The sequence below is a fragment of the Homo sapiens genome, chromosome 13 (genome assembly GCF_000001405.40).
Source record: "Homo sapiens chromosome 13, GRCh38.p14 Primary Assembly".
NCBI classification, from domain to species: Eukaryota; Metazoa; Chordata; class Mammalia; order Primates; family Hominidae; genus Homo; species Homo sapiens.
In genome coordinates, this window is record NC_000013.11 from 41,726,327 (window position 1) to 41,752,238 (window position 25,912).

Here is a 25,912-nt window from a genome sequence, read left to right on the forward strand (position 1 = left end):
TAAATTCCTTTTTGGGTAATTGCTAGATCAAAGATCCCACTGAGAGACTGGGTCTGCTTCACATTGAGTGTGAGAGTCCAGAATTATATACTTGCTATAGAGAAGAGAAGTCCTTCTTAAAGACTTTTGATGAGTAAGTTTATCCCAGGGCCTCTCCAATCAATGTGAATCAGTCTCCTCAGAGCTGACCTCAATCTTTTTCATGGTTAGGGGGATGTGACAAAAGTAAAACCATTTTTTATTCTGTGTTTTATTCCAAGAGGTCCTAAACAACAAAGTATAGTGTAATGGTTTAAGAAAAAAGACTCTGGGATCAGATAGACTTAGATATGAAGCCCAAGTCCACCACTCATTATCCCAGACACTATCAAAAAATAATCTCTCTGGGCCGGGCATGGTGGCTCACATCTGCAATCTCAGCACTTTGGGAAGCCGAGGCAGGTGGATCACATGAGGTCAGGAGTTCGAGACCAGCCTGGCCAACATGGTGAAACCCCATCTCTACTAAAAATACAAAAATTAACCAGGCTCAGTGGTACATGCCTGTAATCCCTACTACTGGGGAGGCTGAAGCAGAAGAATCGCTTGAACCCGGGTGGCGGAAGTTGTAGTGGGCCGAGATCATGCCACTGCACTCCAGTCTGGGTGACAGAGCGAGACTCCATCTCGGAAAAAAACAAAACAAAACAAAAACCTCTCTGAATATCAGATATTTTTCTTCACTAAAAGGGGGATAATAAATATTCTCACAAGGTGATTATGATGGTGGCACAGCACATGATAAGCATTCAATGACAGCCATTACAGCAGTGTTACTAATATTATTATTACTGCTATTGGTATTGTTATTATCATTACTGTTTTTACCTAAGGTACCGAAGAAATCATTGCCTAGGAAAGGAAATCCAGGTCTATTTGCCAGAACAATCATCCTAAAATCAGGATGAATCACTACAACATTTTCTCTTCCATTCACATTAGCAGAATCTGAAAAACAAAATTTGTTTATTCTTTATCAATATTTAATAATTCTTAAAAATATCAAGCAACAATCTTTTAGATAACATAAATAGTTATACTGTTCAATTGTAAAAAGCTCTAAGATATTTGGCTGTGATAACTTGGTTGCAGAAACAAAAACTTTCTTGAAAAAATTTGCTCAAGAACCAAACACTGATAAAGCATATACTAAATTGTACAGGGACTTGCACTCTTATATACCTTCAGAGTACATCTAAAAAAAAGCAACCTTGTCCAAATGTAGACTTACAGTACTTAAGCCTGGCTTGAGATGTTTTTAGTCCTTAAAAAAATTAAAAATAGAAATCCATAATAAGGGAGAATCCAAGGAATAGCTAAAGGATAAGTTCTTTAGTTTTTATCAAATCAGTAACCTCATCCTTTTGCATAGAGCCTGCCATTATGCAGCTAAGGAGTTATTCCTGTTTAGATCACGCACCCTGAAAACTAAATACATATTAATAGAATAAAGGTCTTAAAAACCTAGTCAACTCATTAGTACAATGTTGATTTATTTCCAGTCATGGGATTGTACCATAGTTCTTAAAATAAGTGATCTTAAGTTGACTGGGGCTTCTTTGTGTAAATGTGAAAGGTATTTCTACTGGCTAGTGTACATTTCAGATAGAATTGCAAGTCCAGAAAATAATTTAAGATAGTACAAGTTTTATTATGGTTATTTCAGGAAGAACCACTTGCTATCTGAATTTATTTAAACCCCACCCTTAAGTTGCCCATCTTTAAAAAATGATAGTTGTGAAGTACCTACAGCTTTATTTGAGATGAGTTTGGAAGAGCCTACTCTCATTTTTTTATGATACCAAAAAGTAATCTTTCAGCATGTACATATTCATGTACACCAATACAACCAATAGTTTTAACTGTGATCCCCATTAATCTTAGTAGTGGAAAATAACAAGGGTATGTGGCTACAGGCAAAATTTAATCAATTAATCAAAACAAAAATGACAATAAAAAATGAAAAATTTAAAAAGTAAAGAAAATGAAAAATATAACCCTACAAGTGATGGTTCATGAAACTACATTCAAAAGAGCTGCAAGTGCTCTTGTTCAAAATGTCAGCTACAATCATATTTGAGTGTAAAATTATAATGACTATTCCTCAAAAACATATCAGAGAATGTAGAGGGTTGCCAGGAGATAATTATTTCTTAACTACAACTGTGTTTCAGCAATTCTTTCTTCTTTTCCATTTCACTGTCCTCATAATGCCTCATAAGGGCAGGCAGAATTCTGAGGGTCTGAATGATCTTTTTTTTTTTTTAAGAGAAAGTATTCAGGGTAACTCAAATTCTAATTTTTCACATAAATTCATTGTGAAACTGAAATATTAGAATGCTTTTATTAGTGCTAAGCTCATACTCAGAAATGGCAATCTTGCAATGATGCTGTTGCAGAACATCTCTGTGGTGATGCACTTGTACCTTTTTAATGGGGTTCTCCTTACATACTCTCTTTGAATATTGAAGATTTTAGTTATTAGTCTCAACTTGTTTGGTTACTCTGGTTGGCTATATATTTTCAATGGCTAGTTATAGATTTTCAAGTCCTTTCAGGACACAAACATTTTAAATGTGAAATTAGAAAATGTTCTTACATTGCATCAAACTTAATTGTTCCTTGTAGTTTAAATACACTGACAAGATTAATCTATCTTCATTTTTTTCCTAACAATAACAACAAAAAGGGTGTGTGTGGGAGGGGGGCAGGAGACAATAAAAAACAGAGGATAACTTCTTCCTAAGGTAGGAGTGTGTGTGTAATATACATGTCTTTATATATACACACGTATTCACCACATATATGTGTACATATAAAATAAAAAGTCCAGCTTTTTTTATTATAATGAGCAAATTGAAAAAAAAATCATACACAAATAATTGGGAGATGAGTACAAGGGTTATACGTTGGTATGTCAGAGTAGAAAAATACAAAGTTGATTTGTCCTAATACTACTACTAAAAATTTCAAAGATGCTTGGTGGGTAAAAGTAAAACTGACAAAGCTAGATTCAGATGTATTAATTTTTATAAATGATTGTCAATACAGGCAACTTAAGTCATATTGAACTTATGCTTATTATTGTAAATAAGTAGGCAGCTAAGTTTGTGATTTGATACAGAGATATAAACATTGTATTTATTAAAGGAAACATTGCTTTCTAAAATACTCACTTGCAACAATGCGTCTTCCATCTGCTAGAATCATTTCTCCATTTTCTACTAGAGTTTTTAAAATACACGTGACATTTGTTGGAGCTTTGTCAGCCTCATCTACTACCAGAATATGACCCAACTTTACTGCTTTAACCTTTGACGACAGAAAATTTATCATAAACAATTAAATGAAGACAGCCATTATTAAAACTTCATTACTTACTGCTTTGGACTTATAACAGCTGGCTTTATTTAAGTTACAAGTATACACGTAGACACACACACACACACACACACACACACACACACACACACACACATCTATAGCAGAGCTGGAAACAAAATTTTGGGATTTCTACCAAAAGCTTCATGTAGCTAAACTGCCAACTCTACAGTTATCTTTTTATTTCATTTTAGTATTAAAATTATTCCCATGGTAGTGATACCCAACAACATCTCACACCCAAGAGTAGGAGAGATGTAAAACAAGCATAACAAATAGAGAAAGTGCCATGGGAGTTATGAGGAGTGAGACATCACAATCACTGTGGATATTAGAACACTGAATTTGTTAAAGCTCTTAAAAGAGTATACAATTTTAATAGACCCAAATGGATAGTGGAGAAAAGGTAGTTACTCAAGACAAAGAGAATCAATGGTCAAACTCAAGAAATCCTGGGGCATATCTAGAAATGAGTGACTATGAACAGTCTATGCTGGCTGAATTAGAAGTTAAATGTGAGAAAAGTGACTGGAAGGGTAGACTGGGTGTCTACCACTAAGGGTTTAACTGTCAGACCAAGAAATAGGTACTGCCTCATTAAGTAATGGGATGCAATTTAATGGTTATGAGTTCACACATGACAGAAGTGGAGCTTGGAGCTACACTTCAGGACATTTAATCTGGTGACAATATGCGGAATAGTTTGGCCAAAAAGTGGTTTGGGAATCTGATTTGAGGGAGGTATGAAAAAATGGAAATAAAAGGCATTAGATTGATTTGAAGGTTTTGTAGGGACAGAATCTATAGTCTTGGCAACTGCTTAGGTGGGAAGAGGAAAAAGGAAAAATAAGTCTTAGGTTTAAGGTGACTGGGTTGATGGTGACATCATGAAAAGAAAGATGAAAGCTAGAGAAAACTCTTAAAAACATTTTTGAGGGGTGGATAAAAGAAGATATCCAATGAATTTAAGTGAAAATCTCAAGATTTTTAAAAAAATAGTAAGAAATATAATGTAAAGTGGACCATATCCTAATTTTTCTCATAGGATGGTATATTTTAAGAAAACACAGATTAAGAAATGGGCATTCCTTCTACCACAATTATTTTAAACCATATTTTTAAAAAACTTATAAGAAATTTCTTTTTTAAGATATACCTAATGCTAAATGATGAGTTAATGGGTACAGCACACCAGCATGGCACATGTATACATATGTAAACTAACCTGCACATTGTGCACATATACCCTAAAACTTAAAGTATAATAATAATAAAAACATAAAAAAATAAAAAATAAAAAAATAAAATAAAATAAATAAATTTTAGGATTAAAAAAACTGAATTTAAAAAAAGAAAACATGTAGCTTCTATCCTCAACCCTGTCTTTGTTCAGGGAAAGACAGGCCCAACCTGGGAGAACTCAAGCAGGAGATCCTAAAGACTCCACTCCCTGGGGTCTGGACCACAGAGGTTCACATGATGACTTATTTGTGCCATTACTGCAAAGGTGTCATGTGCGCAGAGGGACATGCCTGGCAGGCTGAGATTTCTTTAGGTCTTGTGTAGGAAGTTGAGGACTGGATCTTCCCAGCTGTCTAAAACACTTGGCTAATATTTTATTAATTAGAACCATTTAAAAAAACTTTTCTAGAAACCTTACCTATTTTCAAACTCTATACATTTGAAAATGATAGTAAACTTTAAAAAAAAATCTGGAATAGAAATCAATAGAGGATTGCTGTCATTCTCTAAATCTCTCACTCTGAAGAGAGAAGAACAAAATAGGAAAACATGTTATCCTCCCAATAATTTGCATATATCCTCTCCTAAAATGAACATGAATGAATGCTTTCCAGTTAGGCTGAAACGTATTAGAATCTGATACGGTTTGGCTGTGTCCCCACCCAAATCTCATCTTGAATTGTAGCTCCCATAATTCAAAAGAGGGACCCAGTGGGAGGGACCCGGTGGGAGATAACTGAATCATGGGGGCAGTTTCCCCCATACTGTTCTTGTGGTAATGAATAAGTCTCACAAGATCTGATGGTTTTACGAGGGGAAACCCCATTGCTTGGTTCTCATTCTCTCTTGCCTGCTGCCATGTGAGACATGCCTCTCACCTTCCACCGTGATGGTGAGGCCTCCAGAGCCACGTAGAACTGTGAGTCCATTAAACCTTTTTCTTTATAAATTACCCCGTCTCAGGTATGTCTTTATAAGCAGCATGAAAACAGACTAATACGTAATCCATGAGAGTTCCATCCTCCAAAAACTGAAATACAACTATGATACAAAAATACACTTGAAAATATTTCTATGATTAGGTTACTAACCAAAGGTGAGTCTTCATATACAATAAGTCCGTCTTTAACCGAAGGCTGAAGCGTAAGAGTTTGTACTGTGGTATCCCTAAAGTAAAACCAACACATTTTATAGTTAGGAAGGAAATAAGCTGATGATTGATCATGATAAAAATACAGCACAGGTGCATTTTTTAAAAGATTTTTGTTCATCATCCTGCTTCCCCTTCCCCCACCAAAAAAAAACAGCAAGTGAAATTTATTTGAGTAACAATACTTTGTAGACTTAATACAGTATAAATTACAAAGAATTTGAGAATTAATCCAGACTTATAGATTATCCAGATTCTTTACTTCTGTTTTTCTTTCTGGTAATATGTCTTGTAACCACTTCACACCTCAAAATTACCACCTGAGGGTGAAGACGAGAAACTAAAAAATATATATATATATATGTATTATATAATATTTATGTTGTTTAAATATAATTTTGATGGCAAGTTTGGTAATGATTGGCATGCTGACATGGACAATTAAAGCAAATCTAGTAATTACACATTCAGGCCCAAACTGCCATCACTAGGTGCCAAAGCCAGACTATCACACCGCTTGCCAAGAATACTCAAGAATTACTTTATGGGATTTTGAACATTTCTGCTGGCATTAAGGCAATCCATTATATTTCTTAAATCTACTTTTTACTATTTACTTGACCCTCCTTTAGATCAGGATCTTCAAAAATATTAACAGTTGGCTATCCTGATGTTAAGAACCTCCTTACATGATGAGATGTAACATTCACATCAAGTGTGGATATTCTTGCCAAAATGTGTGTAAGAAAGTTGCAGGTGATATGTAGGGTCAGATATTTTTAAGGGGATCAATTTTGTATCTTTGCCTTCTATCTAAGATTATTTCCCATAGAGAATTAGAACTACTTTAAAAATATAAGTAGCGTCTTTGAAGAGTTCAGCTATTTTTTCAAACTACCCTACTTCTTACTCAAAGTAAAGCACAAAGTTGCAATTGTGTTGTTTTGACTATCTACTATGTATAAGACACTACTGGACAGTGATATTCAGACCTGGACGTTATACTTGTGAAATGTACACCAAATGCCAAACTTTACTACAATCTATTAAAATTGTAAAATGTGTATCTGTTTTTTAAAAAGGAATAAATAGCACTTGACAATAAAATACAAGATAAACTTAACGTCATCAAATAACTGTTTTGCTTTTAGTAGAAGAAATATAATAAAAATCAGCTAATTGCTTTGAGAGGCAGCTGTGGAGTAGTGCAAAGAAGACCTTGGAGTCATATCAATCAGGATTCAAATTCTTGTTTTTGCCCCTTATTGGCCATGTGATTGTGGGTAAGTAATAAAACCCACCCAAAAGGATTGCTGATAGAACACTTGGAAAGTGTATAACGCCGTATCTGGCAGATAGCAGGGGTGTAATTACATACCAGCTTTAGATATTTGTTGTCACTATTGTTGTTGCTGTGACTGAAAGTTCCTTGCCTGCCTACCTTTCACTTGATCTTCAGTTTTTTAGCAGAGATGGTGCTTCTTGAAAGATCCCTTCCCTGACCTTTTGTAGAGCAGCTTAGGTGCCCCTGCTATGTGTTCCCCTTGTGACCCATATATCCCCCAATTCGGCCCTTAACACACTATACTGCAAGTACTTATTTTACTATCTTCCCACACAGACTGTAAGATCTAAGAGTACAGAACATGTCCACACTGTCCCTCATTCTGTCCCCCACCTAGAACATGTCTGGCTCACTGGAGGAATTCTATAAATATTTGTTGAATGAATGAAATAAACAAAATATATGAAAAAGTAAAAGTCAACGATGTAGTTTATAGTGCAGGATAAAACACATGGACTTTCAAATTTATCAGATCATTGGATTTTGTTTTTAAACAGAGAATCTGGAACCTACTCTAGTAAATGTTGGGTCAGAGTAAGTCTAATTCTCTTACGGGTAAGAAATGGTACATTATGGCCGGGTGCAGTGGCTGAAGCCTGTAATCCCGGCACTTTGTGAGGCTGAGGCAGGCAGATCACGAGGTCAGAAGTTCGAGACCAGCTTGACCAACGTGGTGAAACTCCAGCTCTACTAAAAATACAAAAATTAGCCAGGAGTGGTGGCACGTGCCTGTAATCCCAGCTACTCAGGAGGCTGAGACAGGAGAATCACTTGAACCTGGGAGGCGGGGGTTGCAGTGAGCTGAGATAGCACCACGGCAGTCCAGCCTGGGTGACAGAGCGAGACTCCGTCTAAAAAAAAACAAATGGTGCATTCTAAGGAATGCATCTGTAGGTCTGTATTAGAAAGTACAGTCATGTTGAGAAGGTATGCATGGGGTTGACTAGTCAAGGGACTGAGGAGTTGATGGTTTATGTCCAAGATGGAGTTGAATTGGAACTTATGGTTGCAGTACGTACCTTCCCCATCAGAGTCCTCATTTACGGAGCTTGAACAGGTACGCTGGCAATACAATTATTGACATTTACAATTTGTAGACTATTTGCCTTATTTGCCTCCAACTTGGAAAGCTTCTCCTTCTAACTTGAGCAAACAGTTTCTTCAGTTAATTCTCTGGGATTCTGACCTATTGCTGTTCCTGATTCCTAACCAACTCCCATCACCATAATCCTGGCTCTCCTGGGCCGGGCACCTGCCCCCATAATCTACTGCTTCTTATGGCCCTAGCACTACACTTTACAAAGAATCTAATTTTGTTTATCTTCTCTAAAAAACAAATTAAATTGTGTCTAAAGATAAAGCCCTGTGGGATGATAGGGAAAGTGAAAAATACATTGTGGCAAGTTATTGGTGATTATAAACTTTTAGTATGAATAAAACGATCCCTATATAACACATGGATTGTCATATATCTATTTTCTGTATTTACGGGTTTTATAAACTTACTGCAGGGCATATGTTATTTTTTTGCTAACAAATTAATTGTTAAAGTTTTAAACAAATCAAGAACAAAGTTTAATTAAACTTACTTATATTAATTGTTAATATTCTAGCAATAGAGAAGGGGGTGGATGAGGAAGGGAAATAGATGTGTTCACACAGATTGTTATAGTAATATAATGAATTTCTCATCTCAGCTTTCACATATTTAATGGGCAATAACATGTCATCTTCCAGCACCAAAAAGAAAAAGGAACTCTTCCATCATTATTAGTAGAAAGGAAATTCAGTTGTTACCTTAATAATTATTGTGCTTCATAGCAGATTAAGAAAAGTAAATTAAACCTGAATTCTAATTTTAAAAAGAAAATGAAGTTGCTCTGTAACACTCGAATTCTGATAGCATACAACTTGTCAAATTAGATTTCTCAAAAGACTTCTGTGCCAGAAATAAAAATCACAGGTTTGAGAAAACAAGCACAAATCAGATGATTTCCAAAGGAGACTAAAATGAGAATAAATGCAAATGGGAAACGTGGCTTTTAGTGGAGTAGTATGTGAGAAAGAGAAATTCATAGGATAAATGTGGTTTTGTTCTGCTCTTATAATTAGCCCCTTCATCTAGTACATAAAAAAAGCAAAGGCTAGTAAAATATGTAAAATAATATTTAACTTAAGAAATTAGTAGGTTTATGTTTCAGTAAGTTACCCTCATTATGTAAGTGGGAAATAATCCACTATTGTCTGCATAAGACTTAATACAATAAGAAAAAACGCTTGATTTCCAAGATATACTATAAAATTACAAACTTTAAATTATTAAGTAATAAGGTGACTACTGTTGTTACAGGTAGCATAAACTGACTCTTAAAGACAATATAGTATTTCTTTTTCAGAGGGTGCTTGATTAAAATAATTGCTCTGCATTTATGAGCAACTTGGATAAGAAGATTAATTCTCCACACAAATAAACAATGACCCTAAGAGAATATTTTATTTCTTGCAACTTCAATCCTCTTGTGAATTGTTCCTCTCAAAAACACCTTTGAAATGTAAGCTAATGAAAATTTAGTGTCACAGCAATACTAGGGAGAAGAAAACTTAAAACACATTTTAGTTACATGTTCTTAGCCTAAAGCTTAAAAAAGAGATGTCTTTCCAGTACAAGACATTTATCAGTAATACTTGATGAATTAATTAGAATGTTCAGCTAAGTGTTGACATTTATGTTATCACTGTTCTCACTTTTTACTATCTTACAGACTACAGCATCTATCAACTAAAGCCTGTGTCAATAAAGGCGCTGCTCAAAGAAATATTGTACTAAACTCTATTCTTAACTTTGGCACTTTAAAGTCTTTTTAAAAATTAGAGTTATATTTCAATAGTAATTTAAAATTATTCCACATGTAATAAAAGCAATTAAATTGTGTAAAGACCAAGTTTTTATCAAAATAAGGAAAGAAAACTGGCCTCTAGAGAGCAAGCACAATCTGTTCTGAAATATTGCTTATAAAGGTACATTAAGTTAGTATCTTCTAATTTATTGAGGAGCAGAAGATCTCAAAATAGCGATGTTTACTTTAAGGATGATATTTTAATAAGTTGTATCTTAACTGATTTATAGTTAGATTTTTTAAGAAAAACAATAATAGTTAAACATAAGAGTAAAGGAAGAAAGAAGACACATAAGAGTTTCATAAGAGCTGATGAAAATCTTCTCTGTCTTTATAGTTCATTAAAACAGAAATGCCTATAGGAATGGTCCACGCAATAATACGAGCCAAACATGAGAAAGGAAAGACAGAATATGGAACAAAGACAGCACTGAAAAAATGTTTGCTCGATATTTTTTCTTTTCTTTTTTTTTTTTTTTTTTTGACAGAGTCTCGCTTTGTCACCTATGCTGGAGCGCAATGGCATGATCTTGGCTCGCTGCAACCTCCGCTTCCCAGGTTCAAGTGATTCTCCTGCCTCAGCCTCCAGAAGAGGTGGGATTAGAGGCATGCACCACCACACTTGGCTGATTTTTGTATTCACCATCTCTACCAGGCCAGGCTGGTCTTGAACTCCCGACCTCAGGTGATCCACCCACCTCAGCCTCCCAAAATGCTGGGATTAAAGGCGTGAGCCACCATGCCCAGCTGCTCAACATTTCAAACAGAAGTTTAATTATGAAAAGAGAATTAAATGGCAATTTTTACCAGTAAGACATAAGCCTAACATCATTGACTGAGAGAAGTAAATGCTGTCAAAAGATATTTTTCAAGTGAAGATGAGTTCTTGGTATCAAGAACATAACTTTCACAAGACCTATTTTAAAATGAGTAATGAAATAAAGATAAAGAGGACTAAAAAGAATTATCACTAATAAAATAGAGTGGTACTTAGAAAAAGGTGATGTAAACAAGTTTAAGAATCACTTGATGTTTACAGTCTGAGCTGTCTGCAGAATAGTGGCATCCCATACCCTAGCCCTATCTATAAAAGACAAATTCACTTTGCCATATTAGGCAAGAAACTTCCTTAGCCCCTCAAACAAAAACAGTCACTGTTAAAAGCAGTGTTGCTATCCGATACAACAATAGGAGGGTATAGAATTTTGAACAGGAAGAACATGTTTTCTTCTTCTTTTTGATTTCTATTGTACAACATGTTGAATATTTCTAGTTAATAATAGTGTTGCCTATTTCAAAATTGCTAAGTAAATTTCAAATGTTCTCATCACAAGTAATGCTAACTATTTGACATGATGGGTATGTTAATTAGCTTGATTTAATTATTTTGCATTGTATTCGTAAGGTATAACATCATTTTGGACTATACATTTTTTTTCCCCACACAACTCCCTCTTCACAGAACCCATAAATTTATACAGTTATAAACTGTCAATGTAAAATTAAAAAAAAGAAAAAAGAAGACAAAATGAGCTATGACTACTGCAGTGTTGAAAAGCAGCACCAGACTAAATCTGAGGCCTTTTCCCAGTTTGGTCAATCTCCTAACCTCCTGAAGCCCAACATTACTCATCTCTACAGAAGGAATTAACATAGAACACTGAAGAAATACGATAGTGTAAAAAGTAAGGAAGACAAAAGAGCAAGAATGAGAGACAGAAGGAATATTATTATACAGTGTTTTGAATATTTTGAACGCTTTGAGGGAAAAGTCCTTTTAGTATGATAAGTAAAATATTTCTGCCAAAGCTGCTGAAAAGACTCTATATCTTAAAATAGTTATTTTGTTGGACTGTTTATTTAGTAGTCAATCACTCATCACTAACATGCTCAGATGCAAAAAATCCTAACTATAAAAGGAAGGAAAACATTAGGGGGATAATATTCATAGAATATCATCTGTGATGAAACACTTTGCTCTTCAGAGGTAGGGTCTTGCTGGGAACTGCTGGTAGCAAAAAGCCACAGCAAAACAGTCACCTGATGGAAACTAAACATTTCAAAATGTGTTTAGTTTACAAAATCTACTTACCTCTACCACGTCTCCTACTACTATGTTAATACTATTTAAAAAGAAATTCTTCAAAAGTCAAAGCCATGCTGATAATCAAGTCTTTTAACTACCTAAAAATTTTCTAAGTTGTCCACTGTTTATAAATAAAAACAAATCTACTAAAATAGTATATAGAAAATTGGATCTTTTATCTGCACTCTGAAAACTAGCTTTCCAGCTTGGTAAATTTTAGGCATTCAACATGACCTAATTTCTTTGCAGTAACATCATTTTCCTTTTTCCTGAATAAAAAGAAAGACAGTGTGCAGGTCCCTTATTTGAACAGAAAAACACATTTTCTAATCATTTTTTTGAAAAAAAATGGAAGAATGAAATAAGGATAAAAATACAAAGTTGAATGAGTATACAAAGATGCACACACAGATGCAACCAGCATGTGTGGCTGATGAACACTGTATCCACTGCATAAATCTTTAGCAGTAAATATGGTATATATGACCTTTTTAAAAAGACTTTATCAATTGAGTAACAACACAAAAGTGTGATAAAGAGACAAAATTAGTGAGTGACCACTTTTTCATGTTAGGACTTTCTATGGTCTTTTATTCAACAAATATTTATTGAATACCAATGGTACTGCTTTAGAGATTGGAGGAGTATCTGTGAACAAAACAGGTAAAAATTCCTTTTCTTGAAGACTTCAAATTCATACTATACTTAAGGGAACTTATCTTACCATACTAATAATGTACCATCTTTAGTACAGTACTCAATTTTGCATGAGATTAAATATCAAAAGACATTTTGTCACAGGCAATTCAAAGAAATAAAGTTAAAATGAATATTTTTCATCATCAAGAGAAATAACAAACTAGTCTGGTGCAGTTTAAACCTACCAGGGGAGTCACGCTCTCTAGGAAGTTGGTTAGGTATGTCTCTTTTGGTTAATAACCCAAAATACATCTTCACATAATACATGTTATCTAAAACTTACTATATAAGTTGCATTTTGTATATAGCATAATATTATTTGATATACTCTAATCCATGAATTATTTTATTCTCATTTTGGTTGTTCATCAAACAGAAAAAATTCCCAATGCTCTAGCTTTATGTTTATCAGACTTTAACCACCCAGGTCAAACAAAAAATAGTATACAAATAAGCACTATGTTTGGAAAACTCTTACCTTAAAGAAAATCAGTGTTTAAGTTTTCTACCATTTACCTATTTTATTGAGTCTTTATGATAGATATTCGTAAAGGAAGACACAATTGCATCATAGGAAAAACAATATATTCTGCATTTTTAGCAACAGGAGTTAAACAATTCATTTCAACCCCAGCCTATCTTCCAGTATCATTGTTTTTTTGTTTTTTTTTTTGTTTTTTTTGTTTTTTTTGTTTTTTTTTTTTTTTGAGACAGAGTCTTGCTCTGTCGCCCAGGCTGGAGTGCAGTGGCACAATCTCAGCTCACTGCAAGCTCCGCCTCCCAGGTTCATGTCATTCTCCTGCCTCAGCCTCCCGAGTTGCTGGGACTACAGGCACCTGCCACCATGCCCGGCTAATTTTTTGTGTTTTTTAGTAGAGACGGGGTTTCACTGTGTTAGCCAGGATGGTGTCAATCTCCTGACCTCGTGATCTGCCCACCTCGGCCTCCCAAAATGCTGGGATTACAGGAGTGAGCCACCACACCCAGTCCCCAGTGTCATTTTAATGGCAGAGGAAAAGGAACAGATACCTCTGAGGAATCAGAGGACAGAAGACTGAAGCAGCTCTCTAAACATATTTTCTTGTCATCTTATGTTTTATCTTAAAATTTGATGTAGATTTTTTTAAAATTTAAAACTTCTTTTACTCTCTAGCCCTATGTCATAGTGATATAGATTTTGAAAGCTATTCCATAATATACCTAGTTTCTTTCAATACAAAAATATTTAATCCGTCATTAGGAAAATAGCAGCAAGGAGCTGTTGTCCTGAGCCAACACTTTCAGGAAACTGGGTTGAACTGAAGACGGCTATCGCTGCAGAGCAAGTTCAGCATCCGCATGCATTTTTCTGTTCTAGTATCAATCACATTATAATCTTGGACCTCATTATATCTTGGTATAAATGCAATCGGTTTTTTTACTTTATGAACTGTGCCAGAGTGATCACCATCCAGAGCCTCCAGAATGATGCCAAGAAGGAGGTATGTGCAGCATTTTCTGACTCCTGCTGGTAGGCATTTCAGCAATGGCACCTTTTAGAGATATCACACAGCTTAGGTCATGTGGGACCAAAAAGTTCTCTCATCTCCTGGGAAATCTACCACTTCAGGATGAACACGAGGATGTGGTTCATTTGTCCCGTTTTCTCATCTGAGTTTAGGTATCACTGCAATTTATTTAAGATTACCCAAAACATCTTCAAAACTACACCAAAACAAAATACTTAATATATGGGTCAAATTAGAAAAAAACAGGCATGTTTACAGAGGCAAAACACTGGAAATAGGCTACTGTCCAGTGCTACTCAAATGTCAACCTTCTCAGCGAGGCTCTGCCTGATCAACCTATTAAAACTGTAATCTCTGCTCTGGCCCCCTTCCCTGCTTTATTTTCCCACATAACACTTATCACTATTTTACGTACTTAACACTATGTAAAATACTTATTACGTATTTTAACGATCTCATTCTCCCTCTCACCAGCAACTATAGATAAACATGAAGACTGGCCTTTTTAGCACTTGTTCACTGATGTTATCACTCACACTTAGAAAAGTAACCAGCACGTAGTAGGAGTTCTCAATGCTTGCTGAGATGGACGCATTTCAGATACTTCAATCACATACGATGAGGCCATACTGAGCTATTATAAATTCCTTACACACCGGGTTTATTTGTGTGCACCTTTTCTCCTTTCTGCAAAGTTTTCTCTTCCCTTTCCGCCACTTTTTATGATAAATGGTTATGGCCCATTCCTTAAACACTCAGCTCAAATCTCACCTCCTCTTAGAAGCATTCCTTATTTCTCACTGTTATCCTCCCAGCTGAACTATTGTTCTATAGAAAGCACTTTACAGTTAAGAAACTTTTCAGTTGTTCACATGAGTATCTCCTTGACAAGGCATACTGTCTATAGACAAGGGTATAACATTTTTTTATGTACACCTAGTGTCTATCATTATGCCTTCAACATTGTAGGCATGCAAAAAATGGTTAGCCAAAGAATAAACACATGAATGTATTAAATACTAATTATAAAACGAATTATATTTATACATTTCCAATGTGCAAAGCAGATTATTAGGCATGAAGGTTTATAAAATGAATAGTTCACAGACCCTAATCCTGGGAAGCTCACATGACACACAGGGAGATAGATATAAGGCAATTAAATTAAATTCATGTCAAAAGATGACAAGGGCTGTAACAGAAATCAAAACAAAGTGCAGTGGGGACACAGAAGAGAAGGCAATTAATCCTGATGGAAAAGAACAGAGTCCTGATTATGGAATTTGATTTTAACTGGCAGGAATGAGTAGAAAGTATGTCTAGGCAGAGGAATAAGCACATAGAAGTTGGGGGATGCAAGAGAAGTTTAAGGCTACACTTAGTTATCCAGCATGTCTAGGATATAGTCACATGGAAGGATGTAGAGCTAGATAGGCAGGCTAAGTCCAGAGTGTACAGTCCTCGTTGCCATTTTGGAGTCTGACTTTCATTTCATGGAAAATATGAAACCATCGGAGAACCAATCATCTATCCATTTCAGAGACAGGATTGGAGAAGATTCTCTAAATGGATGTTCCAAAGATGGATGGAAGGGAAGAGACATCACATTCATTCATTTGTTTAACAAATGTTTATCAAACATCCACCATACTCCAGGCATCATGCTGGAAGTAGGAAGTTCAAAGATATATCCCTGCCCTGAAGATCTCTCTGTTTAGCAAAGGAGACAGAGATGGGAATATGTAATTGTGATAAAAAATGACAGGTACAATACCAGAGCCTGTTCTAGGTCAGTGGCTCTAAACTTAACCATCAACAAAAGTTTTTAAGAAGACACATTCTAAAACATACAAAAATAGAAACAAAAAACAATGAGCTAAAGGTGAAAAACAGTACCTTAAAAACACTCTTGGATTTTATTGGTTAATAATGCAAAACCCTTTTTGTTCTCATTAAAAATTAAAGAAGGATATTTTGGGAAGAGCAATGTAATCGATACACTTTATTATTTGTGTGATTTAAAGGTCTCCTCCTAAATTCAGTTTACTTTGCTACTTTATTTCAATGCCTAGCATCTCTGAAAAAGAACTCACAAACACATGAGATCCAAATGGAAGAAGTGCAATACTGACTGCATTCCCTGTAGTTCAACATGCATTTTTCAATCTCATTTATCAAACATAGAAAGGCTCTTTTGCACCCCACTTTATGCTTATGGTGGCACAAAGAAAGGAATCAACATCTGCTTGTGGAGAAGAAGAGGAAAGGATCTAAGATATTTTCTTAGAGGAAAACACTTTGATTTTCATTTTGAAGATAAAGTATGAGTTTTCCAGGTAGACTTGACAGGGAATTCCAGGCAGCAAGAGCTGCACAGAACAAGTTGGGGAGTAATAGATATGGTATGTGATACCTGGGAACCACAGGCAGCTCATATGGCTTAAGCATACGTGGGAGAGAAAGGTTGGTGGAAGACAAGTGAAACAGATAGTGGCAACGGGAGTCATTGCAGGGTTCTGAGCAGAAGAGCAAGTAATCAACTTTATTAGTAGAAACATGTAAGGCATGGAAAGGAGAGATCAGAGGCTGAGTTCTTAACCAGGAGGCTACTGCAATAGTTCAGGCAAGAAAAGATGAGCAATGGACTGGTTCTCACTGCTACAAGCATGCTGTCACGAATGATTCTATTCCCCTAGTGAGAGACCTTAACTTGGCTTGGTCCCATTAGCTGTTGGCTGTAGTCCTATTCCAAACTGTCACTTGACCAAATTCTTACAACCCTCTAATTGCTGTAATGTGAAAGGTTGGCTATTACTTCGCTTACAGATCAAATCTGCATTGGGTCAATTCATCCACCAACTCTCCAGAATAGACAAAGTTGCTGAAATGCCAGAATGTCTCACCACAAATAAACTACAATTATGAAATTAATAATTGCTGCCAAACATATCAGCGTTTGAGTTCTCCTCAAGTAGTCTCCCATTTATTCCTTATCACATTACCCTTTAAAAATATTTATATCATTTTCACTTTATTAATAGCATCAATATTTTCCTGTTTATTAAATTATTTGTTCATTGCCTATCTTCTCACCACTAGAAAGAAAGCTTCATGATAGCAGTGACCTTGTCTGTCATTCTGTTCATTGTTGTATTCTCAAGAACAGTACTATGGACATAAGAGGAACTCAATAAAAGTTTGTTGCAATAGATCTCCTTTACCACCAAATGCAACTATACCCCAGCTACTGCAGCAGTGACTTCTGAAAGCTCAAAGTTAAACCTTTCTCTAGAGAATTTTCTTCCACTAATGGGAGTTACCTCACCCAGAAATGCTTGGGAGGTCACAGGTGCCTGCTTCCCTTTCTCCCTCAGGGCAGCCCTTAATCAATGACTTAGAGATATGAGGGTGAAAAAGGCTGGCACTCTTGCTTCCAGGTGGGGTAACTGAGTAGTAACATTCACGCTCCAGAACTCCCTGTGAAGAGGCTGAGGCCAGCCTTCAGCTAAACCACCTCTTTTCACTGGCCTTATCCTGAGTCCTTCACTTCCTTACAGATTTCACCTAAAAGCTGTCCCTCTAAATCATTTCCACAAACATTTCCATCTCTGGTTCTGCTGCTAGGGAACCCAACCTAAGATATCTGTTGACTGTTCGAATGAATGAAGATAAATGTATAAATAATTCTTAGATCTTCTAGCAATACTTTTAATTCTTCCTGCATAAAACATTATAGATACACCTCAGTTAACGGAAATTAGCTAAGGAAGTTGTGAACTGAACAACCCATAAATAAATAAATCTACTTACTACTAATTTAAGCCCCTCATCCCATCCCTTTCTGCTCATTTGTCACTGTTGCCATCATCTGAAGATTCTGGCTAAAGCAATAAGGAATGGCATTTTATAAAACTAAAACAAAACAAAACAAAACAAAACACCATTTTAAATCTAATTGAATAAGGAGAAAGTTGGGAGGTATCTTCGTCACTCTGTCTGCTTACCTAACAACTCTGTAAGAAACCTGCAGCTGGTGCTGACTAGAAAGGTCCAAAGAGAGGAGAGCAGGTTTAAGTGGTTAGGACATGATGTTAAACATGTTAAGATAATATATGATTGAAACAGTTCTAATACTGACTTGTTTAATTTATTTATTTTTATTTATTTATTTATTTATTTTTTGAGATGGAGTCTTGCTCTGTCACCCAGGCTGGAGTGCAGTGGCGCAATCTCGGCATACTGCAAGCTCCACCTCCTGGGTTCACGCCATTCTCCTGCCTCAGCCTCCCGAGTAGCTGGGAGTACAGGTACCCACCACCACGACCGGCTAATTTCTTTGGTATTTTTTTAGTAGAGACGGGTTTCACCATGTTAGCCAGGATGGTCTCATCTCCTGACCTCATTATCCACCCGCCTTGGCTTCCCAAAGTACTGGGATTACAGGCATGAGCCACTGCACCTGGCCTATTTTTTTTTTTAATTATACTTTAAGTTCTAGGGTACATGTGCACAATGTGCAGGTTTGTTACATATGTACACATGTGCCATGTTGGTGTGCTGCACCCATTAACTTGTCATTTACATTAGGTATTTCTCCTAATGCTATCCCTCCCGCATCCCCCCACCCCATGACAGGCCCCAGTGTGTGATGTTCCCGGCTCTGTGTCCAAGCGTTTTCATTGTTCAATTCCCACCTATGAGTGAGAACATGTGGTGTTTGGTTTTCTGTCCTTGTGATACATTGCTCACGTACAGAATGGGAGAAAATTTTTGCAATTTACCCATCTGACAAAGGGCTAATATCCAGAATCTACAAAGAACTTAAACAAATTTACAAGAAAAAATCAAACAACCCTATCAAAAAGTGGGCAAAGGATATGAACAGACACTTCTCAAAAGACGACATTTATGCGGCCAACAGACACATGAAAAAATGCTTATCATCACTGATCATCAGAGAAATGCAAAGCAAAACCACAATGAGATGCCATCTCTCACCAGTTAGAATGACGATCACTAAAAAGTCAGTAAACAACAGGTGCTGGAGAGCATGTGGAGAAATAGGAACACTTTTACACTGTTGGTGGGAGTGTAAACTAGTTCAACCATTGTGGAAGACTGTGTGTCAATCCCTCAAGGATCTAGAACTAGAAATACCATTTGACCCAGAGTTGTTTTTATTTGTATTACAAATAAGGACTAAATTTTTAAAAAATCCCTCTTCCATCAGAATATCACTGATTTCATCATAGAAATAATGATTTTCTTAATAAAATTTTGCTTTACAAGTGAAAAAAAAAGGATTAAAAAGTTATAACCTAAATTTATAATAGTGATCGACTTGAGGAAGAGGAGACCAGATTGGAAGTGGTGGTTAAAGGAGACCTCAGCTATAATTATAGTGTTTTATTTCTGCAAAAGGAAGAGTAGAATCAAATTTGGAAAAATATGAACAGTTGTTAAATCTGGGTGATAAATTTGGATATGTGTTATATATTTGTATTTACATTTTTTGGATTTTTAACGTTTTTCTCAAACTAAAAAAGTAAATAACACTTGAAAGGAATGTAGCTGTTCTCTAGTGGCAAGGGACATAACAAAACTAAGTAGAAAATACACACTGCATCTCAGTGGTTCTCAAGCTCCTTAAGCTTGTGATCTAGAAAATAAAGATGAAGAAACCCATAGACTCTTGTCTCCAGTATTCTTTTCCAAAACAGCCCTGACCACACCACTTGCTGGCATCTCCAGTTTCAGGAGTCTGTAGCTCTGACTCATCAAATCCATAACCCACAAATTAGATGACAGGATAATGTAACCACTTGGTGGGTACACTGAAAGAAAGGATATTACTGAGGTACCCAGCTGGGGAGGAACATCATCTAAAGGACCACAGGAATTAATTTGGTAAACGTTTTTATGAACTGTCCAGGTGACGGAACAGAAAACAAGGCTATTAAATTTACTGATGACACTCCTCAAAGGAGGTGTGATTGAGCATCAAAGTAAGTGTAATATTCCAGCGAAGTGAAATTTAATAAGGATATCACTATTGACAAAAATGGAATTAATATGGAATAACTGGCTGAAAAATGTGGAAAAATACTTTGGGATCAAGCTGAGCAAGGATTAGGAATATGATGCTAGAATTTTAAAAATCAAGTATTATAGTATATATAGGCTGAAGTGTAGATTGTAACAATTGGTTTGACCCATAGTCCTATCATATGGATAATACTTTAGTGACATACTTACTGCAGTACTACCCTCACTAAAATACCATGGATTCAGCACAATAAACTCAAGCAGCAGTTTTGGTTACTGTAGCCTTGTAATATAGTTTGAAGTCAGGTAGCATGATGCCTCCAGCTTTGTTCTTTTGGCTTAGGATTGACTTGGCAATGCGGGCTCTTTTTTGGTTCCATATGAACTTTAAAGCAGTTTTTTCCAGTTCTGTGAAGAAAGTCATTGGTAGCTTGATGGGGATGACATTGGATCTATAAATTACCTTGGGCAGTATGGCCATTTTCACAATATTGATTCTTCCTATCCATGAGCATGGAATGTTCTTCCATTTGTTTGTATCCTCTTTTATTTCATTGAGCAGTGGTTTGTCGTTCTCCTTGAAGAGGTCCTTCACATCCCTTGTAAGTTGGATTCCTAGGTATTTTATTCTCTTTGAAGCAACTGTGAATGGGAGTTCTCTCATGATTTGGCTCTGTGTTTATCTGTTATTGGTGCATAAGAATGCTTGTGATTTTTGCACATTGATTTTGTATCCTGAGACTTTGCTGAAGTTGTCCATCAGCTTAAGGAGATTTTGGGCTGAGACAATGGGGTTTTCTAGATATACAATCATGTCACCTGCAAACAGGGACAATTTGACTTCTTCTTTTCCTAATCGAATACCCTTTATTTCCTTCTCCTGCCTGATTGCCCTGGCCAGAACTTCCAACACTATGTTGAATAGGAGTGGTGAGAGAGGGCATCCCTGTCTTGTGCCATTTTCAAAGGGAATGCTTCCAGTTTTCACCCATTCAGTATGATATTGGCTGCGGGTTTGTCATAAATAGCTCTCATTATTTTGAGATACGTCCCATCAATACCTAATTTATTGAGAGTTTTTAGCATGAAGGGTTGTTGAATTTTGTCAAAGGCCTTTTCTGCATCTATTGAGATAATCATGTGATTTTTGTTTTTGGTTCTGTTTATATGCTGGATTACGTTTATTGATTTGTGTATGTTGAACCAGCCTTGCATTCCAGGGGTGAAGCCCACTTGATCATGGTGGATAAGCTTTTTGATGTGCTGCTGGATTCGGTTTGCCAGTATTTTATTGAGGATTTTTGCATCAATGTTCATCAGGGATATTGGTCTAAAATTCTCTGTTTTTGTTGTGTCTCTGCCAGGCTTTGGTATCAGGATGATGCTGGCCTCATAAAATGAATTAGGGAGGATTCCCTCTTTTTCTATTGATTGGAATCATTTCAGAAGGAATGGTACCAGCTCCTCCTTGTACCTCTGGTAGAATTTGGCTGTGAATCCATCTGGTCCTGAACTTTTTTTGGTTGGTAAGCTATTAATTATTGCCTCAATTTCAGATCCTGTTATTGGTCTATTCAGAGATTCAACTTTTTCCTGGCTTAGTCTTGGGAGGGTGTATGTGTCGAGGAATTTATCCATTTCTTCTAGATTTTCTAGTTTATTTGCGTAGAGGTGTTTATAGTATTCTCTGATGGTAGTTTGCATTTCTGTGGGATTGGTGGCGATATCCCCTTTATCATTTTTTATTGCGTCTATTTGATTCTTCTCTCTTTTCTTCTTTATTAGTCTTGCTAGCGGTCTATCAATTTTGTTGATCTTTTCAAAAAACTAGCTCCTAGATCCACTGATTTTTTGAAGGGTTTTTTTGTGTCTCTATCTCCTTCAGTTCTGCTCTGATCTTAGTTATTTCTTGCCTTCTGATGGTACTGGTACCAAAACAGAGATATAGACCAATGGAACAGAACAGAGCCCTCAGAAATAATGCCACACATCTACAACTATCTGATCTTTGACAAACCTGACAGAAACAAGAAATGGGGAAAGGATTCCCTATTTAATAAATCGTGCTGGGAAAACTGGCTAGCCATATGTAGAAAGCTGAAACTGGATCCCTTCCTTACACCATATACAAAAATTAATTCAAGATGGATTAAAGACTTAAATGTTAGACCTAAAACCATAAAAACCCTAGAAGAAAATCTAGGCAGTATCATTCAGGACATAGGCATGGGGAAGGACTTCATGTCTAAACACCAAAAGCAACTGCAACAAAAGCCAGAATTGATAAATGGGATCTAATTAAACTAAAGAGCTTCTGCACAGCAAAAGAAACTACCATCAGAGTGAACAGGCAACCTACAGAATAGAAGAAAATTTTTGCAATCTACTCATCTGACAAAGGGCTAATATCCAGAATCTACAAAGAACTCAAATTTACAAGAAAAAAACAAACAACCCCATCAAAAAATGGGCAAAGGATATGAACAGACACTTCTCAAAAGAAGACATTTATGCAGCCAAAAGACACATGAAAAAGTGCTCATCATCACTGGCCATCAGAGAAATGCAAAGCAAAAACCACAATGAGATACCATCTCACAGCAGTTAGAATGGTGATCATTAAAAAGTCAGGAAACAATAGGGGCTGGAGAGGATGTGGAGAAATAGGAACACTTTACACTGTTGGTGGGACTGTAAACTAGTTCAACCATTGTGGAAGTCGGTGTGGCAATTCCTCAGGGATCTAGAACTAGAAATACCTTTTGACCCAGCCATCCCATTACTGGGTATATACCCAAAGTAGTATAAATCATGCTGTTATAAAGACACATGCACACGTATGTTTACTGCGGCACCACTCACAATAGCAAAGACTTGGAACCAACCCAAATGTCCAACAATGATAGACTAGATTAAGAAAATGTGGCACATATACACCATGGAATACTATGCAGCCATAAAAAATGATGAGTTCATGTCCTTCGTAGGGACATGGATGAAGCTCGAAACCATCATTCTCAGCAAACTATCGCAAGGACAAAAAACCAAACACCCCATGTTCTCACTCATAGGTGGGAAATGAACAATGTGGTGGGAATTGAGTAATGAGAACACTTGGACACAGGAAGGGGAACATCACACTCCGGGGCCTGTTGTGGGGTCGGGGGAGGGAGGAGGGATAGCATTAGGAGATATACCTAATGTAAATGATGAGTTAGTGGGTGCAGCACACCAACATGGCACATGTATACATATGTAACAAACCTGCGCGTTGTGCACATGTACCCTAAAACTTAAAGTATATTAAAAAAAAAGAAATATATTTTATAAGGCCATGGTTGCCATAGATACTGATTCCTCTTACGGATCTGGGCAAAGTCTATTGAAAATCTTCTGGAAAAGGTTCACCATTCCAGATCCCATTAAGAACATTTGGCTTGGCATGGTGGCTCACACCTATAATCCCAGCACTTTGGGAGGCTGAGGCGGGCAGATCACAAGGTCAAGAGATCGAGACCATCCTGGCCAACATGGTGAAACCCTGTCTCTACTAAAAATACAAAAATTAGCTGGGCACAGTGGTGCGTGCCTGTAGTTCCAGCTACTCGGGAGGCTGAGGCAGAAGAATTGCTTGAACCCGGGAGGTGGAAGATGCAGTGAGCCGAGATCATGCCACTGGACTCCATCCTGGTGACAGAGCGAGACTCCATCTAAAACAACAACAACAACAACAACAACAACAAAACAAAAACAAAAAAAAAAGGAAAAAAAGAAAGGAAGGAAGGAAGGAAGGAAAACATTTGATTCACAGGAGGCCAAATTATCAACATTAACAGACGGTTAAGAGAAATTGAAATCAACTCTCACAAAATATTTTCAAATGTTCAAGACTTTAGTATAAGAGCTCACTGCAGATATGCTGGAAATAGCAAGAGAACTAGAATTAGAAACCAAGCCTGAAGATGCAGGTGAATTGCTGCAACCTTGTGCTAAGACTTCATCAGATGAGGAACTGCTTATTGCTAAGACTTCATCAGATGAGGAATTGCTTATTGTGAATAAACAAAGAAAGTGGTTTCTTGAGATGGAATCCACTCTAGGTGAAAATCTTATGAACACTGTTGAAATGACAACAAAGTATGTAGAATGTTACATAAACATATTTGATAAAAAAAAAAAAAAACTCAAGCACAGTACAGTACAGTGGTTAGAACACAGGGCTGAAGCCAGAATGTATGAAGCTAGCTGTGTGACCTTGGCCAAATTGTTTAACCTCTCTGTGTCTCAGCAGCCTCAATTGCAAGACAGAGACAGTAATGGTATTGATCTCATAGAGCTGTAGTGAGCAGTAAGAAGTTACAGTTTGAAAACAGCTTAGAACAGTGCCTGGCACACAGTAGCTGCTATGCAAATGTTAAATAAAAAAAAAATACAAAAATTTAAATCAATTTGGAGATCATCTAGAGGAGTCAAAAATTATTACAAACCTAAAGATCTACATGGAAAAGTAGAGGAACTGCCATAATTCATTTTTTAAAAAATTAAAAAGGGGGGGCAGTAGAAGGCATTATTAATATGGAAACTACTGCCCAATTGCTAATAAAAATGTTTCCAAAACAGCCTTTTCAAATTTATAATGGGGAAGATGAGAAAGAGGGAGCAGCCTGGCTGTTCTGTGCAGCGGCTGACATTGGACAGGGCTCCAGTTCTCTAGTGCTCTTATCAGTGCTAAGAATGCTGTGATGACTCAATAATAATTTTTTCCAGGAGACTTCAGAAAAGCTTTTACGTTTTCTATTTTCTGCCAGTATTTCTATGTGCTCTCTGGGACTCTGTGAATTTCAAAATTTATACTGTCACATTCAGTTTTCTTCAGCTTGAGGAGAGCCTCATATATTGAATTATGTTGTGCTTTGTAAAGCATGTCATCATTCACTCCAGGATATTTGATTTAAGAGGGCAGAATTTGCTAAACGGTTTACTTCATTTGGTTTCATAAAGAAACTATGACAGAGGAAAAGTAAGTGTTTTAACAATAACCATCCAAAATGCAATATTTTAATGACCTCAGTTGGTTAGAACACTTACATAACAGTTAAAGATCTATTATATACATAGAATTAACCTTAATTCTAAAACAAGCGTCAGTGCTCCTCGGTAAGCATGACTGACCACAGGGGAGCTTGACCTGGAAGTTTCAGATGAAATTAGCACATATCAAGTCATTTAAACAAATACTTACTGGACATCCACTGTGAATTAAGAACCACACCAAGTACCTGCCTCATGATTGGTAGATCACACACAGGAGTTACTGTTAACTTCTCTTTTCCCCCCACCCTCCACATAGTTATAAAGGCTAAAATTAGCCCTGTAAACCTATTTCAATATGTTCCTTCTTTCCACTCTCATTGTCAATATGTTTGCTCAGCACCAACAGTATGATCTGGATCACCTCCTAGTGTTTTCTGTGATTCAAGTCCTGCCTGTTTTCAATAACCATAATGCTGCTTTCTCTGT

The 25,912-nt window shown here is 36.4% G+C and overlaps 1 protein-coding gene across 2 annotated transcripts in view; it reads right to left on the reverse strand.

The window, feature by feature from the left end:
• The window catches only part of VWA8 (von Willebrand factor A domain containing 8), a 394,275-nt gene that overhangs the window by 159,492 nt on the left and 208,871 nt on the right, over nucleotides 1-25,912 (reverse strand). For both annotated transcript variants that reach the window (NM_015058.2, NM_001009814.2), the window contains exons 22-24: nucleotides 5,754-5,829; nucleotides 3,216-3,351; nucleotides 868-987 (exon numbers count right to left, since the gene is read on the reverse strand). In NM_015058.2, the coding sequence (NP_055873.1) occupies nucleotides 868-987; nucleotides 3,216-3,351; nucleotides 5,754-5,829 (332 nt within the window). The remainder of the gene's footprint in view (nucleotides 1-867; nucleotides 988-3,215; nucleotides 3,352-5,753; nucleotides 5,830-25,912) is intronic.